General features: G+C 49.6%; 1 protein-coding gene and 1 pseudogene across 1 annotated transcript, besides 6 other annotated features; one reads left to right on the forward strand and one right to left on the reverse strand.

The window, feature by feature from the left end:
* On the reverse strand, window positions 272–788 carry RPL12P27 (ribosomal protein L12 pseudogene 27; annotated as a pseudogene).
* Window positions 9,327–10,116: an enhancer, noted in NCBI's record as "H3K27ac hESC enhancer chr10:99078342-99079131 (GRCh37/hg19 assembly coordinates)". NCBI's record gives its function as "activates a minimal SCP1, AML or CMV promoter by ChIP-STARR-seq in primed H9 embryonic stem cells {active_cell/tissue: H9 hESC(primed)}" and the evidence as "EXISTENCE:reporter gene assay evidence [ECO:0000049][PMID:30033119]".
* Window positions 9,327–10,297: a biological region, named in NCBI's record as "Sharpr-MPRA regulatory region 7927".
* Window positions 9,854–10,148: an enhancer, noted in NCBI's record as "tiled region #7927; HepG2 Activating DNase unmatched - State 1:Tss, and K562 Activating non-DNase unmatched - State 1:Tss". NCBI's record gives its function as "activates a minimal TATA promoter and a strong SV40 promoter by Sharpr-MPRA in HepG2 and K562 cells {active_cell/tissue: HepG2 | K562}" and the evidence as "EXISTENCE:reporter gene assay evidence [ECO:0000049][PMID:27701403]".
* Window positions 9,988–10,297: a silencer, noted in NCBI's record as "silent region_2670". NCBI's record gives its function as "represses an Ori minimal core promoter by ATAC-STARR-seq in GM12878 lymphoblastoid cells {active_cell/tissue: GM12878}" and the evidence as "EXISTENCE:reporter gene assay evidence [ECO:0000049][PMID:35858748]".
* Window positions 10,013–12,657, forward strand: FRAT1 (FRAT regulator of Wnt signaling pathway 1). Its single transcript, NM_005479.4, has one exon. The coding sequence runs from the start codon at window positions 10,196–10,198 to the stop codon at window positions 11,033–11,035; it is 840 nt and encodes a 279-aa protein (NP_005470.2). The 5' UTR covers window positions 10,013–10,195; the 3' UTR covers window positions 11,036–12,657.
* Window positions 10,798–10,897: a silencer, noted in NCBI's record as "silent region_2671". NCBI's record gives its function as "represses an Ori minimal core promoter by ATAC-STARR-seq in GM12878 lymphoblastoid cells {active_cell/tissue: GM12878}" and the evidence as "EXISTENCE:reporter gene assay evidence [ECO:0000049][PMID:35858748]".
* Window positions 11,238–11,397: an enhancer, noted in NCBI's record as "active region_3847". NCBI's record gives its function as "activates an Ori minimal core promoter by ATAC-STARR-seq in GM12878 lymphoblastoid cells {active_cell/tissue: GM12878}" and the evidence as "EXISTENCE:reporter gene assay evidence [ECO:0000049][PMID:35858748]".
* Window positions 12,658–16,816: the final 4,159 nt, after the last annotated feature.

Genomic DNA, 16,816 nt, shown 5'->3' on the forward strand with positions numbered 1-16,816 from the left:
TTTTTTGAGACGGAGTCTTGCTCTGTCACCCAGGCTGGAGTGCAGTGGTGCGATCTGGGCTCACTGCAAGCTCCGCCTCCCCAGGTTCATGCCATTCTCCTGCCTCAGCCTCCCTTCAGCCTCCCCAGCAGCTGGGACTACAGGTGCAAGCCGCTACACCCGGCTAATTTTTTTGTATTTTTAGTAGAGATGGGGTTTCACCATGTTAGCCAGGATGGTCTCAATCTCCTGACCTCGTGATCCGCCCGCCTCGGCCTCCCAAAGTGCTGGGATTACAGGCGTGAGTCACCGTGCCCGTCCCCCAGGATTTCTTCAATGGTTCCAGAGAGTTCTCTGGCTAAAGATTGGTGACGCCTCTGTCAAACAATGTTGATGATCTCATCAAAAGTGATATTCCCACTGTGTTTAATGTGTTTCTGTTTCTTCTGTCTCTTGGTGGTTCCTTGAGAACTTTGATGATCAGGGCAGAGGCAGAAGGCACCACCTCAATCTGGGCCCGTCTGTTCTGAATGTTCAGTTTCACTGTAATCCCCAGGCCTTTCCAGTCACCTGTTGCCTTGGCAATGGCATCACCAACCTTTTTTAGAGACAGAACCAGGGGGCTGATCTTGGGGGCCAGTGAAGAAGTGGCACCAACTTCATCCCCGGTGCACCTCAGGTATACGACTTTAATCTTGTTGGGGTCGAACTTCGGCGGCATGGTGGAGGCGGCTGGTATTGGATGAACCTGGATTCAGGACGACCAAAGAAAGTTGCACCTTGGCCTCTTCTGAGCCAAAAGCTGAAAGCAAAAAATGTGTTTTTAAAAACAAACAAACAGGGCCAGGCACGGTGGCTCACGCCTGTAATCCCAGCACTTTGGGAGGCCAAGGCAGGCAGATCACCTGAGGTCAAGTGTTGAAGACCAGCCTGGCCAATATGATGAAACCTCATCTCTACTAAAAATACAAAAAGTTAGCTGGGTGTGGTGGTGCACCTGTGGGAGAATGGCTGGAACCTGGGAGGCGGAGGTTGCAGTGAGCCGAGATCGGGCCACTGAACTCCAGCCTGGGCAATGAGAGCAAAAACTCCATCTCAAAAAAAAAAGATCCAGAGGTAGGCAGTCCAGGACCATGTCTGGGGCCTTCAAAAGATCCAGGCAACAAAATAAAAGAAAAAGAGACAGGCTTGCCCCCTTCCTCACAGGGTTACTTTCCAAAGGTATCACATAATATGGCCCATTTGGCCAGGCGCGGTGGCTCACGCTTGTAATCCCAGCACTTTGGGAGGCCGAGGCAGGCAGATAATCTGAAGTCAGGAGTTAGAGACCAGCCTGACCAATATGGAGAAACCCCGTCTCTATTAAAAATACAAAATTAGCCGGTCATGGTGGCAGCATGCCTGTAATCCTAGCTACTTGGGAGGCTGAGGCAGGAGAATCGCTTGAACCCGGGAGGCAGAGGTTGTGGAGAGCCGAGATTGAGCCATTGCACTCCAGCCTGGGCAACAAGAGCGAAACTCTGTCTCAAAAAATATATATATATATTTATATACATACATAGCCCACTTATATTTCATTGACCAGAACTTAATCACATGGCCCCATTTGGCTGCAAGAGAAGATGACAAATGACCCCTTGTCTTCCCATCTCTTTGTTCTTTTGCAGGGGATAGAGATGGGTTCTTATGGTTCTGGTACAGCTACAATTTGGGGTTTATTAAAGAGGAGAGTGGTTATTGGGAGGCAAACAGCAGCCTCTGCTATAGCTACTACTTGTGTAAAATGGAGGCAGACTATAAATAAATAAACTATCTTTGAAAAGACACACAACACATGTAGTATAGTTTGCCTTTTGACTTTTGAACTATGTGGCTGTAGTGTCTACTCAAATAAGTAAAACTAGAATTAAAAAAAAATACTGCAGGCTAGCAACATGGTGAGACTTTGTCTCTACAAAAAATACAAAAATTATCCAGGCATGGTGGTGAGTGCCTATAGTCCCAGCTACTGGTGGGAGGATCACTGGAGCCTGGGAGGTTGAGGCTGCAGTGAGCCATGACTTAGCCACTGCATTCCAGCCTGGGTGACAGAGTGAGACTGGTCTTAAAAAAAAAATACTGAATGATGATACCCAACCATGTGTCTCCTGACTTACAGCTCTGTCGATACCACAGCTGTCCCAGGCATCCATATGGACACCATGCTTCTGCGGATCTAAGACTGCCTCCTCTGCAGTGAGCCAAGATGGCGCCACTGCACTCTAGCCTGGGTGACAGAGCAAGACTCTGCCTCAAAAAAAAAGGAAGAAAAAAAGACTGCCTCCTCCAGACACCTACAAGCAATCATGCGGCAAGTTTGAGCATCTACTTTTCCATTCCCATTGTCACCCAGGTAGCAAGGATGGCACAGTCCCAGAAATGGGAGAACTTACTGCTTCAGCCTACATGGAGTCATCATCATGGTCCCTGAGACTTGGTCCTAACATGGCCGTCTTTTACCTATGATCAACATACCATGAGGGGGCCGGGCACGGTGGTTCATACCTATTATCCCAGCACTGTGGGAGGATGGGCTGAGCAGAACACTTGAGCCCAGGACTTCAAGACCAGACCGGACAACATGACGAAACCCTGTCTCTACAAAAAAAATCACAAAAATTAGCCAGGTGTGGTGGTGCACACCTGTGGTTACAGCTACTTGGGAGGCTAAGGTGGGAGGATTGTTTGAGCACAGGTGGTGGAGGCTACAGTGAGCCATGATTGTGCCATTGCACACCAGCCTAAGCAACAGAGTGAGACCCTGTCTCAAAAAAATGTATATATATATATATATATGCATACACACACACACACACACACACACACACACACACACACACACCCCATGAGAGATTTATTGACCCCTTGTCTTCCCATCTCCTCGTTCTTTTGCAGGGGATAGAGATGGGGTCTTGCTGTGTTGGCTGGTCTCCAACTCTTGGGCTCAAGTGATACCCCGGCCTCAGCCTCCCAAAGTGTTGGGATTACAGGCATGAGCCCCGTGCTTGGCCTATTCACACTTGATTCCTGTTGTAATGGTAGATCTTGCTGGGTCTGTCATGACCCAACATCCATCACAGAGGTTCTCAATCACTGAGCTGCCAGCCTGAGCTGTAACCATAAAAAAATAATCTCATGCTTCTCTGTCCTTGGTGTTTCTTGGTTTGTGGCAACATGCTTGACATGGTGTTCTCCTCATGTGTCTGTGTCCAAATTTCCTTCTTTTTGTAAGGATACCAGTCCCCTCATTAGGTCCCACCCTAATCCAGTATGTCCTCATTTTAGTTTGATTACATCTGCACAGACGCTATTTCCAAATAAGGTTATACTCACAGGTTCTGGGTAGATAGAAATTTAGGGGAAGCTACTCAACCCGGTACACTATTCCAGCCTCCAACCTGAGGGGTGCATCCCTCTGAACTATCTCCCTAACCTAGAGACCTTTCTCCTTTTATAAATGACAAAATATCCTCAGGCAATGCTGTGTTAAAAATACTTTAAAAAGGCCGGGTGCAGTGGCTCACGCCTATAATTCCTGCACTTTGAGAGGCCAAGGCGGGCGGGTCACTTGAGGTTAAGAGTTCGAGAACAGCCTGGCCAACATGGTGAAACCCCGTCTCTACTAAAAATACAAAAATGAGCCAGGCATGGTGGCGGGTGCCTGTAATCCCAGCTACTCAGGAGGCTGAGGCAGGAGAATCGCTTGGAGTCCGGAGGCGGAGGCTGCAGTGAGCCGAGATTGCACCAGATAGCAAAACATTCTACACTGCTCCATCAGTGTTAGCTCTGAAGCCATCTAGTCATTTTAACTACTGGCTTCCAGACCCAACTGTTCTAACTCCCACCCCCACTCCCCACTGTCTAACCAGTGGTTTATCTTTCCTGCCCAGTCAGCAGCTTCAGGACATTTTTAACTTTTGCCTTCCATGGCTTCCTCAGCTGCTAATCTACTGAGATACGTTTATTTTATTTTATTTTTTGAGGTGGAGTGTCACTCTGTCACCCAGGCTAGAGTGCTGTGGCACAGTCTCGGCTCACTGCAACCTCTACCTCCTGGTTTCAAGTGATTCTCCTGCCTCAGCCTCCCAAGTAGCTGGGAATACAGTGGCCTGCCACCACACCCAGCTAATGTTTTTTTCTTTTTTTTTTTTTTTAGTAGAGATGGGATTTCACCATGTTGGCCAGGCTGGTCTCGAACTCCTGACCTCAGGTGATCCGCCCCCCTCAGCCTCCCAAACTGCTGTGATTACAGATGTAAGCCACTGCACCTGGCCTACTGAGAGGTGTTTAATATCTCATCCTCATCTCTTAGCATCTCAGTTTGAGTCCCGTAACCTCTCTCTCTTTTTTTTTGAGATGGAGTTTCACTCTTGTTGCCCAGGCTGGCGCCCAAGGGCATGATCTCGGCTCACTGCAACCTCCACCTCCCAGGTTCAAGCGATTCTCCTGCCTCAGCCTCCCAAGTAGCTGGGATTGCAGGTGCCCACCACCATGCCCAGCTAATTTTGTGTGTGTGTGTGTGTGTGTGTGTGTGTGTGTTGTTGTTTTTTTTTTTTAAATTTGAGACAGAGTCTCACTCTGTCACCAGGCTGGAGTGCAGTGGCACGATCTCAGCTCACTGCAACCTCTGCCTCCCAGGTTCAAGCCATTCTCCTGCCTCAGCCTCCCAAGTACTTGGTACTACAGGAGCATGTCACCACACCCGGCTATTTTTTTTTTTTTTGTACTTTTAGTAGAGATGGGGTTTCACTGTGTCAGCCAGGATGGTGTCAATCTCCTGACTTCGTGATCCGCCTGCCTCGGCCTCCCAAAGTGCTGGGATTACAGGCGTGAACCACCACGCCCAGACCCCCTTTTCTTTTTTTAGACAGTCTCACTCTGTCGCCAGGCTGGAGTGCAGTGGCGTGATCTCAGCTCACTGCAACCTCCGCCTTCCTCCCAGGTTCAAGCGATTCTCCTGCCTCAGCCTCCAGAGTAGCTAGGACTACAGGTGTGCGCCACCACACCCAGTTAATTTTTGTATTTTTAGTAGAGATGGGATTTCACCATGTTAGCCAGGATGGTCTCGATCTCTTGACCTCATGATCCACCCACCTCGGCCTACCAAAGTGCTGGGATTACAGGCCTGAGCCACTGCACCCAGCCAATTTCCCCTTTTCTATGGCTTATTGTTTCTAACACTTTATTGTAAAATTTTTCAAACAGCCAACAAAATTGAAAGAATACCCTGTTACCCAACACCTAGATCCTAGTATTTTAAAAATTGAGATATATTTCACATAACATAAAATTCAACATTTTAAAGTGTACACTTCAATAGTTTTTAGTACTGTATATTCATTATGTTGTACAAACATCACCACTAATTTCAAAACATTTTTATAACCCCAAAAAGAAAACTCTTACCCATTAGCTGTTAGTCCTAATTCCCCCCTTCTCCCATCCCCTGGCAACCACTAATCTACCTTCTGTTTCTATGGATTTGTCTATTCTGGACGTTTCATATAAATAGAATTACACAATATGTTGCCTTTCCTGTCTGATTTGTTCACTCAGCATAATGTTTTCAACATTCATTCCTTTTGTAGCATGTATCAGTACTTCATTCCTTTTTATGGTGAATAATACTCCATCGTATGAGTATACGACATTTGATTCATCCATTTATCAGCTGATGAACATCTGAGTTGTTTGCACTTTTTGACTATCATGAATAATGCTGCTATCAACATTTGTGTACACGTTTTTATGTGAACATATGTTTTCAATTTTCTCTGGTATATAGCTAAAAGTAGAATGGATGGGTCATATGGTAACATTAACATATTACTATACATGTTTTATCACATATCTACCTGTCTAACTATCCTTCTAATCCATCTATATTAATCCTTCTCACATTTTACTGTACTTTGGAATAAATTGCAAACATCAGTACACCTCACTCCAAACTCATCAGCATGTCTATTACTATAATTCAAGCTTTCTTTACAATTTATTCTCTTCATGTAAAATCTACAATTTTTTTCTCTTTGTTTTTTTGTTTTGTTTTGTTTTGTTTTTGTTTTTTGTTTTTTTGAGACAGGGTCTCACTCTACTGCCCAGGCTGGAGTGCAGTGGCACAATCTTGGCTTACTGCAACCTCTGCCTCTCGGGCTCAAGCAATTCTCCTGCCTCAATCTCCTGAGTAGCTGGGACTACAGGCATGAGCCACCATGCCCTGCTACTTGTTGTATTTTTAGTAGAGACGGGGTTTCACCATGTTGACCAGACTGGTCTCAAACTCCTGACCTCAGCTGATCTGCCCACCTCAGCCTCTCAAAGCGTTGGGATTACAGGCGTGAGCCACCGCGCCCAGCCCACTCAATGAGTTTTAACACATGCCTAAACCTATGAAACCCAAATCAAGATATCAAGATTTAGAACATGTCCACCCTCCTGCAAGTTCCCTCTGTCTGTTCAGTGTCACAGTGTCAGTCCTGCCCCTGCTCTACCTTTTCCAAAGGCAACCAGTCTTCTGATGTTTTCCCCACCGTAAGTTACTTTCCCTGTTCTAGAACTTCATATAAACAGAAACATATGACATATATCCGTTTTTATCTGGCTTCTTTCACTTAGCATACTGTTTTTAAGCTTCATTCATGTTACTGCATGCAGCAATATTCAGTCCTTTCTGTTGCTGAACTGTTTTCTGTCATCATCCTGTGTGAATGTACAATAGGTTGTTTGTCCATTCACCTGTTGATGAACACTTGGGCCATTTCACTTTTGGCTTTTATGAATAAAACTCCTTTGATGTGAGCCAACATCGTGCCACTGCACTCCAGCCTGGGCAAAAGAGGGAGACCCTGTCTCAATTAAAAAGAAAAAAAAATATGCTATGATCACCTCCCTGTAGGCCTTGATGTGGGCCCATGTGTTTATTTCTCTTAGCTAAGTATCCAGGATTGAAACTGTGTTCCAGGACAGGTGTATGTTTCATTTTATAAGAAACTGTCAGGCCTTTTTCCAAGGTGGTTGTACCATTTTTCATGCCCACAACAATATATGAGGCTTATAAGTTGTGAGCCAAAGATAAAAATGCACAAATTGTAAACTGCTACTAATTATTTTCATTTGAAAATTTTAAGTAGGCCGGGTCTGGTGGCTCATGCCTGTAAATCCCAGCACTTTGGGAGGTCGAGGCAGGCGGATCACCTGAAGTCAGGAGTTCAAGACCAGCCTGGCCAACATGGTGAAACCCCATCTCTACTAAAAATACAAAAATTAGCCAGGCATGGTGGTGCACGCCTGCAGTGTCAGCTACTTAGCAGGCTGAGGCAGGAGAACTGCTTGAACCCGGGAGGCAGAGGTTGCAGTGAGCGAAGATTGTGCCACTGCACTCCAGCCTGGACAACAGAGCAAGACTCCATCACAACAACAATAACAACAACAACAACAACAACAACAAATGCCCAACAAACCAGGAATAGAAGGGAACATTCTTAACCTGATAAATACTATCTATGAAAAATCCACAGCTAACATCCTACCTAATGTTGTGAAAGACTGAATGTTTTCATCTAAGATCAGGAATAAGACAGGGCCAGGTGCTGTGGCTCATGCCTGTAATCTTAGCACTTTAGGAAGCTGGGGTGGGCGGATCGTTTGAGCTCAGGAGTTCAAGACCTGCCCGAGCAACATGGTGAGACCCCCTGGGTCTACAAAAAATACAAAAATTAGCCAGGCATGGTGGCTTGCACCTGTAGTCCCAGCTACTCAGGAGGCTGAGATAGGAGGATCAACTGAGCCTGGGGAAGTCAAGGCTGCAGTGAGCAGAGATCATGCCACTGCACTCCAGCCTGGGCCACAGAATGAGACCCTGTCTCAAAAAAAAAAAAAAAGAAAAAAAGAAAAGAAAAAAGAAAAAGAAGAGAAGCAAAACTATCTCTATTTGTAGATGACACGATCTTCTATATAGAAAATCCTAAGGAATCCACAAAAACAAGGTGATGAACCTTATGACACCCTGTAGAAATCCAGATTTCGTAGATTAGAAATCCAATGGCTTTGTTTAAACTGTCTCTTCCTCTGTTTTTACATTTTTTCCTCCACACTTGACAAAAACAAACCCAACTCTTTTTAAACCAACTTCCCTACCTCTTTCCTGCACTCATCCCTTCCTAAAGGTTTGCTCCTATAATTATTATCGTTGGAACTGCCCAACAAGACCCTCGTTTTCTATTTATCTGGATCTCCAGGCTCATTTCTTTCTTTGTATCCTATTTTCTATATCATGCTCAGAATTTTAAAGTTGCTTCCAGGCTGGGCGCGGTGGCTCATGTCTGTAACGCCAGCATTTCGGGAGGAGGGATTGCTTGAGTCCAGGAGTTTGAGACCGGACGGGCCAACATGGCGAAACCCTGTATCCACTAAAAATACAAAAATTAGCCAGGTGTAGTGGCGCGTGCCTATTGTCCCAGCTACTCGGGAGGCTGAGGTGGGAGGATCACCTGATCCTGGGAAGTCAAGGCTGCAATCAGCCAGATCACACCACTGCACTCCAGCCTGGGTGACAGAGTGAAATTCTGTCAAAGAAAGAAAAGAAAGAGAAAGAAAAGGAAGAAAGGAAGGAAGGAAGCGTATCTCCATTTTCATCCAAACAGGTATTTTTCTCTGCTACTACGTACCTCCTCAGAGCCCATCCCCCCTACTGGTCTGAGGCTTTTTTTTAAACAACTTTCTGGACATAGCCCCTCTTAAGACTAACAACCTATAGCCAGGCGTGGTGGCTCACGCTTGTAATCCCAGGATTTTGGGAGGCCGAGGCAGGTGGATCACCTGAGGTCGGGAGTACCAGACCAGCCTGACCAATATGGAGAAACCCCATCTCTGCTAAAAACACAAAATTAGGCTGGGCATGGCGGCGCATGCCTGTAATCCCAGCAACTCGGGAGGCTGAGGCAGGAGAACTGCTTGAACCCAGGAGGCGGAAGTTGTGGTGAGCGGAGATTGCGCCATTGTACTCCAGCCTGGGCAACAAGAGCGAAACTCTGTCTCAAAAAAACAAAACAAAACAAAAAGAGTAGCAACCTAGGCCGGGCGCAGTGGCTCACGCCTGTAATCCCAGCACTTTGGGAGGCTGAGGCGGGTGGATCACCTGAGGTCAGGAGTTCGAGACCAGCCTGGCCAACATGGTGAAACCCCGTCTCTACTAAAAATACAAAAATTAGCCGGGCGTGGTGGTGGGCGCCTGTAATCCCAGCTACTCGGAAGGCTGAGGCAGGAGAATTGCTTAAACGCAGGAGGCGGAGGTTGTAGTGAGTGGAGATCGAGCCACTGCACTCCAGCCTGGGCGATAGAGCGAGACTCCGTCTCAAAAAAACAAACAAACAAATAAACAAAAAGACTAGCAACCTCCTCTCCAGCAATGCCAACCCCAGTCCAGGCCCCCATCCGCCCAGGATCTCGATCAAAAAACATTAATCTGTGGCCTTTCTTTGCCATTTCCAACTCTGCCACCTCCATCGAACGACAAGGTCCCCTTCTTCCTTTCCATTCCCGTCAGCTTCATTTCCCTAATCTCCGTACAAATCCCTAGCCTGACTCCCTTTCCTTTCCATCCTCACCAGACGCCCGCATGCCGGACCTCAAAAGCGCAAACGCTAAAAACCGGTTGAGTTGACGCACGGAGAGAAGGGGTGTGTGGGTGGGTGGGTGTGTGTTAGTGTGCGTGCTTGCTTGTGTGTGGAAGAAACCAACAGGGTTCACGCTGGTGCCCATTTCTGGAAATGCCAATCGCGCCCGACTGCGGGAGCCAGGATCAGGTCCCCAGGGCGCCCTTGCAGACAGCACCCTGAGCGAAGGAGCTCAGAAGGCAGTCCGGCTTCACCCAGACCCCCAATCCCACAGAAGCGCCGTCCCCCAGCGGCACAGCACCCCCTCCCCGGCGCGGTGGTAGGGCCCGACGTGACGTCACCCATTGTTTACAAATCAACCCGAGCCGGCAGGATTCCGGCTCCCGCGGCTGCAGGCGCGCGGCTAGAGTGCCTGGCGGGCTCCGGCTTCCGCGTCCGCCCCGGCCCCGGTCCAGACTTAGTCTTCAGCTCCGCGCCCGCTCCGCCGCGGCCCACCGCGCCCGCCGGCAGCCGAGCCCCCAGCGACGCCCGCACAGCTCCGGGTGCCCAGACAGGGGGCCATGCCGTGCCGGAGGGAGGAGGAAGAGGAAGCCGGCGAGGAGGCGGAGGGGGAGGAAGAGGAGGAGGACAGCTTCCTCCTACTGCAGCAGTCAGTGGCGCTGGGCAGCTCGGGCGAGGTGGACCGGCTGGTGGCCCAGATCGGCGAGACGCTGCAGCTGGACGCGGCGCAGCACAGCCCGGCCTCGCCGTGCGGGCCCCCGGGGGCGCCGCTGCGGGCCCCGGGGCCCCTGGCTGCGGCGGTGCCGGCGGACAAGGCCAGGTCCCCGGCGGTGCCGCTGCTGCTGCCGCCCGCGTTGGCGGAGACTGTGGGCCCGGCGCCCCCTGGGGTCCTGCGCTGCGCCCTGGGGGACCGCGGCCGCGTGCGGGGCCGCGCTGCGCCCTACTGCGTGGCCGAGCTCGCCACAGGCCCCAGCGCGCTGTCCCCACTGCCCCCTCAGGCCGACCTTGATGGGCCTCCGGGAGCTGGCAAGCAGGGCATCCCGCAGCCGCTGTCGGGTCCGTGCCGGCGAGGATGGCTCCGGGGCGCCGCCGCCTCCCGCCGCCTGCAGCAGCGACGCGGGTCCCAACCAGAAACCCGCACAGGCGACGACGACCCGCACCGGCTTCTGCAGCAGCTAGTGCTCTCTGGAAACCTCATCAAGGAGGCCGTGCGAAGGCTTCATTCGCGACGGCTGCAGTTACGTGCAAAGCTTCCCCAACGCCCGCTCCTGGGACCTCTGTCGGCCCCGGTGCATGAACCCCCTTCGCCTCGCAGCCCTCGCGCGGCCTGCAGTGACCCTGGCGCCTCCGGGAGGGCGCAGCTCAGAACTGGCGACGGCGTTCTTGTGCCTGGCAGCTAACACGCCCGGGGTGGCCACAGCGCCAGCCTCAGACTGGAGGGCAAGGGGTTCCCTTGAGGGCTGCAGTTCTACTCAGGCTGGTGGAGAACTCTGGCTTTTGGAAGCGAGAGTAAAAAGCTAATGACGAGGAACCGAAAAATCGCGAGTGTTTCGCGGGTAACTGGGGTTGAGGGCCAAAATATTTGGAATGAAGGACTTTGGCCCTATTTAAGGCAGATTTTACAGAGCGCACCTCAAACGTACAAGTCAGTAGGACTCCTTATTTGGCGTGACCCGACCTGGCCGCGGAGCCTGCATTTCCTCGCAGCCTCTCAGTGCCCTCCAGCCCCGCGACCATGTGGCCACAATCCACGCTTCTCCGGATCGCGGTGCGCCGGAACCACGGAGGATGATGCCAGTTACTTGCTTTACCTTTTCAGGGCTGGCTCCTGATCCACTTTGGGGGAGGAGAACATGAGTAGATAATTTCAGGGTGCAGCCCAATCTGCCAGACTTAAAAAAACCATCTTGTGTCTTTGGAGGTGCTGCTTAATACCAAACATGCGGTGCCATGAAGGGACCCTTTGGGGGTTGAATAGGAGTTAACCCCTGCGCTCTCTTTGCAACTGTCTCTCTTCTCAGAGTGGTGGGGGAAGGCTGTACGACACGGGTGGGGAAAGGAGGTGGGGGCGGGGAGTATTGAATGGTGGTGGAAGGGTAGAGAGGCGCGGAGTGAACCCCACGCCCTGTCTAAAGTGTATTTTCAGAGCCGGCCCGCCTCTCCTCGGTTCAAGGTCACTGTTTCCTGGGCACGCACTGGGTTGCGGGACAGAGTAGCCAGGTTCTGCCGGTGCTCGGAGAAGAGCGCAGTGTTTTGCAAGTGCTGGAGTCTCCTGAGGACACGCGCGTCGCCGCCACCGCGGGTGTGGGAAAGCGCGGACGTGCTGGGCGGCTGTGCTTCGGTAGGCGACCACCGCCCCTGGCCGCGCTCCGGGCTTTCACGGAAACTCCCGAGACCGGGCCCTGGGTTCCTCCTCTCCTACTCGGCTCTGCAGTCCTACTCAAGCGGGTGGCTCTGGGATCCTGGGGGCCTGGGTTGGGGGCTAGGGAGACGCCATGTGATGGACACTCCAGGGACACACAGCCTAGCACAGCAGCTTATAATGGGCTCTCCGGGGCCATTTGCAATAACAGCTGCAATTCCCTGGATAGACGAGTTGATTTCCTCCCTCTGCCCCTCCCCCAGCCATGCCAGCTGGCCTTTGTAAGTGCAGGAAACCGAGTAGAAAATGTGACCCTCCAAATGGAGAAGCTGCAGGCTTTGCCATTGTGAACCATGGTGAAGTGCTTGGAACATACTGTTCACTCACTCTAAAGGCGCTGAGACTGTGCTGTTGTTCTCGTTTTTATAGTCAATGGCTTGTTCATCATCCAGATGTGGCTACTGACATATCTACACTTCGCACCGGAGTGTCTGGAATTGTGGCTATCCTGATTATAGGATTTTAACTTAACTGAAATGCCTGCTTTGAATAAATGTGTTGGGTTTTTTGTTTGGTTTTATTTTATACTTGCCATCAGTGAAAAAGATGTACAGAACACATTTCTCTGATCTCCATAAACATGAAAACACTTGAAATCTCTGTCAGCCTGGCTTGTGGATGGTAATTAGAGCGCCTTTGTGTCTGAGCAGCTCACTAGCTAGACAAGGTCTCCGCAGCTGGGTGTGTATTGGAGCTGGCATGAAATTAAATGAAAGTGAGGTCAGGTTTTGGACCAATCCCATTCGTTAAAACCTCAGAGCCTTTTGGATTACTAGTCAGTGATGGAGATGTGTTATAAAGCTGCCTCTATTAGCAAAGGACATCAGATCAGCCAGTCACTGCAAACTGGGAGGCTTATCTTTTTTTTTTTCTTTTTCTTTTTTTCTTCTTTCTCACCGTGGCCATTAAGTGCACTTGTTCCACAAGGTGGGCCTTAAGGCTGGGGCAGCTCTTGATTAGGAGACTGCTCACAATGTGAGCCTGGTGGTAGGAAAGCTGGGTGGAAACTTACAAAAGACTCCTGTCTTTGCCCCTGGCACATTTATACCATTCTGTCCCTAAGCAGTGACATAACAGGCCATGTCTATCCTTATGGTTCTGACTTACTTCAGTCTGTTCCCTCATGGAAGGAGCTAATTTCCTCCCTCTGAGGAAAGAGTACCCAGAGTTTAAGCCCACTTCTGAAGTGGGAAGGGAACCTTGGACAAGTTGCTCTACCTCTGTGGCTTCAGTTTCCTCATCCGTACAACAGGGATAATGAAATAAAAGGTGGGCCAGGCCCAGTAGTTTACACCTGTAATCCTAGTAGCACTTTGGGAGGCTAAAGTGGAGGATTGCTGGAGCCCAGAAGTTCAAGACCAGCCAGGGCAACATAGTGAGACCTCACCTCTCCAAAAATAAATAGATAAATGGCCGGGCACAGTGGCTCATGCCTGCAATCCCAGCACTTTGGGAGGCCAAGAAGGGCTGATCACGAGGTCAGGAGTTCAAGACCAGCCTGACCAACATGGTGAAACCCCATCTCTACTAAAAATACAAAAATTAACTGGGCATGGTGGTGCATGCCCATAATCCCAGGTACTCAGGAGGCTGAGGCAGGAGAATCGCTTGAACCTGGGAGGCAGAGGTTGCAGTGAGCTGAGATCGCGCCACTGCACTCCAGCCTGGGCGACAGAGCGAGACTCTGTCTCAAATAAGATAAAATAAAATAAATAAATAAATGAGGCAAGAGGATTGCTTGAGCCTAGGAGTTTGAGGCTGTCGTAAGCCATGATTGAGCTACTGCACTCCCACCTGGGTGGCAGAGCAAGACCCTGCCTCAAAAAAATAAATTAATAAAAGGCATATGGTGACTGGCACATGCTGCAGATGAACAGTATCTAGTCCCTACCCCTTCCTTCCCAGGTGGCGGTGTCCCAGGTGTCCTCATTTTCCCACAAAACAAGAGCATGCCATGATCCCAAATCTGCTTTCTGGAGTGTTCTATGACTTCGAGTCCTGATTTTCTAACTTCCTTTTTGGTTCAATGCCCCATTTTCTCAAATTCACACACAGACGCTGATGGTCTCTGAGGAGTACCTTCAGAACACACCAAGCCTGCCATTTCCCACAACATGCCCAGAAAGGGCTGTGGGGGCCTCAGTCCAGTGTTCTCCAGCATGGGAAGGGTAACTATGGAGGCTCTAATACAAACTGAGGAAAAGGAGCCCCCAATAGTGTAGTGGGCACCACCTCTGGGCGCTGAGCATGAGGGGAAAGTGGCCAGGTGCTGATGTCCCCTGGCATGGGAGTAGCCCTGAAGTCCCCAGTTCCCATTCTTAGTTGATGTACGATTTATCCAAGGTCAAGGGGTTATGAGCAATCCAGGGCTTTCCATCCTGAAATAGGCTATGATTTGATGTCACTGCACCGACTGTGCATAGCTTCTTGTAATAAGAATGACTGGTTAAGTTCAGACTCAACCTTAGGGCCCATGCAGAACAACCCACTCCTAAAAAAGGAAAATTGGGAAAAACTAAAGCCTCTCTACATAAAGCAAGTTAGCACTCTAAACACATTATAATCCAGTAACCGTTCATCTGTGTTTTTATTTTTTATCTTATTTACTTATTTATTTTTGAGACAGAGTCTTGCTCTGTCACCCAGGCTGGAGTGCAATGGCGTGATCTCGGCCCACTGCAAGCTCCACCTCCTGGGTTCAAGTGATTCTCCCGCCTCAGTCTCCTGAGTAGCTGGGACTACAGGCACCCGCCATCACGCCCAGCTAATTTTTGTATATTTGTAGAGGCGGAGTTTCCCCATGTTACCCAGGCTGGTCTGGAACTCCTAACCTCAGGTGATCCGCCTGCCTCGGCCTCCCAAAGTGCTGGGATTTTAGGCGTGAGCCACCGCATCCGGCCTGTTTTTTTTTTTTTTTTTTTTTTCAAATCCTGCCAAGTTTTTTCTTTTTTTTTAGACGAAGTCTCGCTCTGTCACCCAGGCTGGAGTGCAGTGGCATGATCTCGGCTTACTGCAACCTCCACCTCCTGGGGTCACACCATTCTCCTGCCTCAGCCTCTGGAATAGCTGGGACTACAGGTGCCCGCCACCATGCCCGGCTAATTTTTTGTATTTTTAGTAGAGATGGGGTTTCACCGCGTTAGCCAGGATGGTCTCGATCTCCTGACCTCCTGATCCGCCCGCCTCGGCCTCCCAAAGTGCTGGGATTACAGGCATGAGCCACCGCACCCAGCCAAATCCTGCCAAGTTTTACTATTCACCCCAAAATACTTTTTTTGGGATAAGTCAGGATTTACATAAAGTGTGGGGTTTTTTGTTTGTTTGTTTGTTTGTGACGGGGTCTCAGTCAGTCACCCAGGAGTGCAACGGTGAGATCTCAGCTCACTGCAACCTCCACCTCCTGGACTCAAGTGATTCTCCCATCTCTTGAGTAATTGGACTACAGGTGCGTGCCACCATGCCTGGATAATTTTAAAATTTTTTATAAAGACAAGGTTTTGCCATGTTGCCCAGGCTGTTCTCAAACTCTTGGGCTCAAGCAATCCACCTGCCTCAGCCTCCCAAAGTGCTGGGATTACAAGTGTGAGCCACCTCGCCCAGCCAGGATTTACATAAAGTATTTTAAAAGTCATATTGGGGCAGACGTGGTGGCTCATGCCTGTAATCCTAGGACTCTGGGAGGTCGAGGCAGGTGGATCACCTGAGGTCAAGAGTTCAAGACCAGCGTGGCCAAAATGGGGAACCCTCGTCTCTACTAAAAATACAAAAGTTAGCTGGACGTGGTGGTGGGCATCTGTAATCCCAGCTACTAGGAGGCTGAGCCAGGAAAATCGCTTGAACCCAGGAGGTGGAGCGTGCAGTGAGCTGAGATCTCACCGTTGCACTCCAGCCTGGGCAAAAAAGAGCAAAACCTCTGTCTCAAAAAAAAAAAAAAAAAAAAAGTCATATTAGACCATTTTATAGGTGGAAAAATAGTCCAAGGAAGTGAGCAGGGAAGAATGACCTACCAAAGTTGTTTATGAAGCCAGAGGCCTAGCAGAGTCTAGAACCTAGGTCTCCCAGCTCCCAACTCAGGGCTCTTTCCAGTGGCTCCATATCATCAAACATGGTCCAATATTGTTCACTGCACAACTCTGCACATAGGCTACCATGGGAATGACATCCCTACAATTGCCCAAATTGGTGACCCTGCCATTGGAACCCTGGAAAATTCTGCTCCAAGTTCCTAGGCTGAGTTAGGGAATGCCATTTCCTTACAAAATGTTCAGCATCCTATGAAGACAGCTGGCCACAGAAAATGGCCTGGGTGAGATATGAGAACAAAGCTACAAATGGAATGAAACAAAGTGACACATACATTGGCAAATAAGTGATTTAGAGAAAAGAATGCCACACCTCACAGAGAACTCCAGAGTCTGCCACCCCAAGATTTCATTCTAAATTAGGCATACATCCGACAATATTTGGATTCAATTTTTACCCGTTTTTGCTCTTTTTCCAGCTCAGATGCAGAAAGCTGGAGCGAAGATCAGACACCACTTTCCTATCTAGCAAAGTCTATGTTGAAACCTGTGATCCCTTCCTTCCAATCAGGAAAGAGTTACCTTGGCAACGAAATTACTAACTCACTCAATTAGCCCCCACTTCTACCAATGCTCAGTAATCACAGACCATCAGCCCCCGGAGAGCTCAGCTTTCAGCAGTCTGATGCTACCGCCTCATTTAGAGATGGAAGCTCAGAGAGGTTTCCACTCCGAGG

The sequence above is a fragment of the Homo sapiens genome, chromosome 10, assembly GCF_000001405.40.
Source record: "Homo sapiens chromosome 10, GRCh38.p14 Primary Assembly".
Classification (NCBI taxonomy): domain Eukaryota; kingdom Metazoa; phylum Chordata; class Mammalia; order Primates; family Hominidae; genus Homo; species Homo sapiens.

What these genes read in the sequence shown, in the direction of transcription:
- FRAT1 (NM_005479.4), top strand. Translation starts at nt 10,196, where the DNA reads ATGCCGTGCCGGAGGGAGGAGGAAGAGGAAGCCGGCGAGGAGGCGGAG.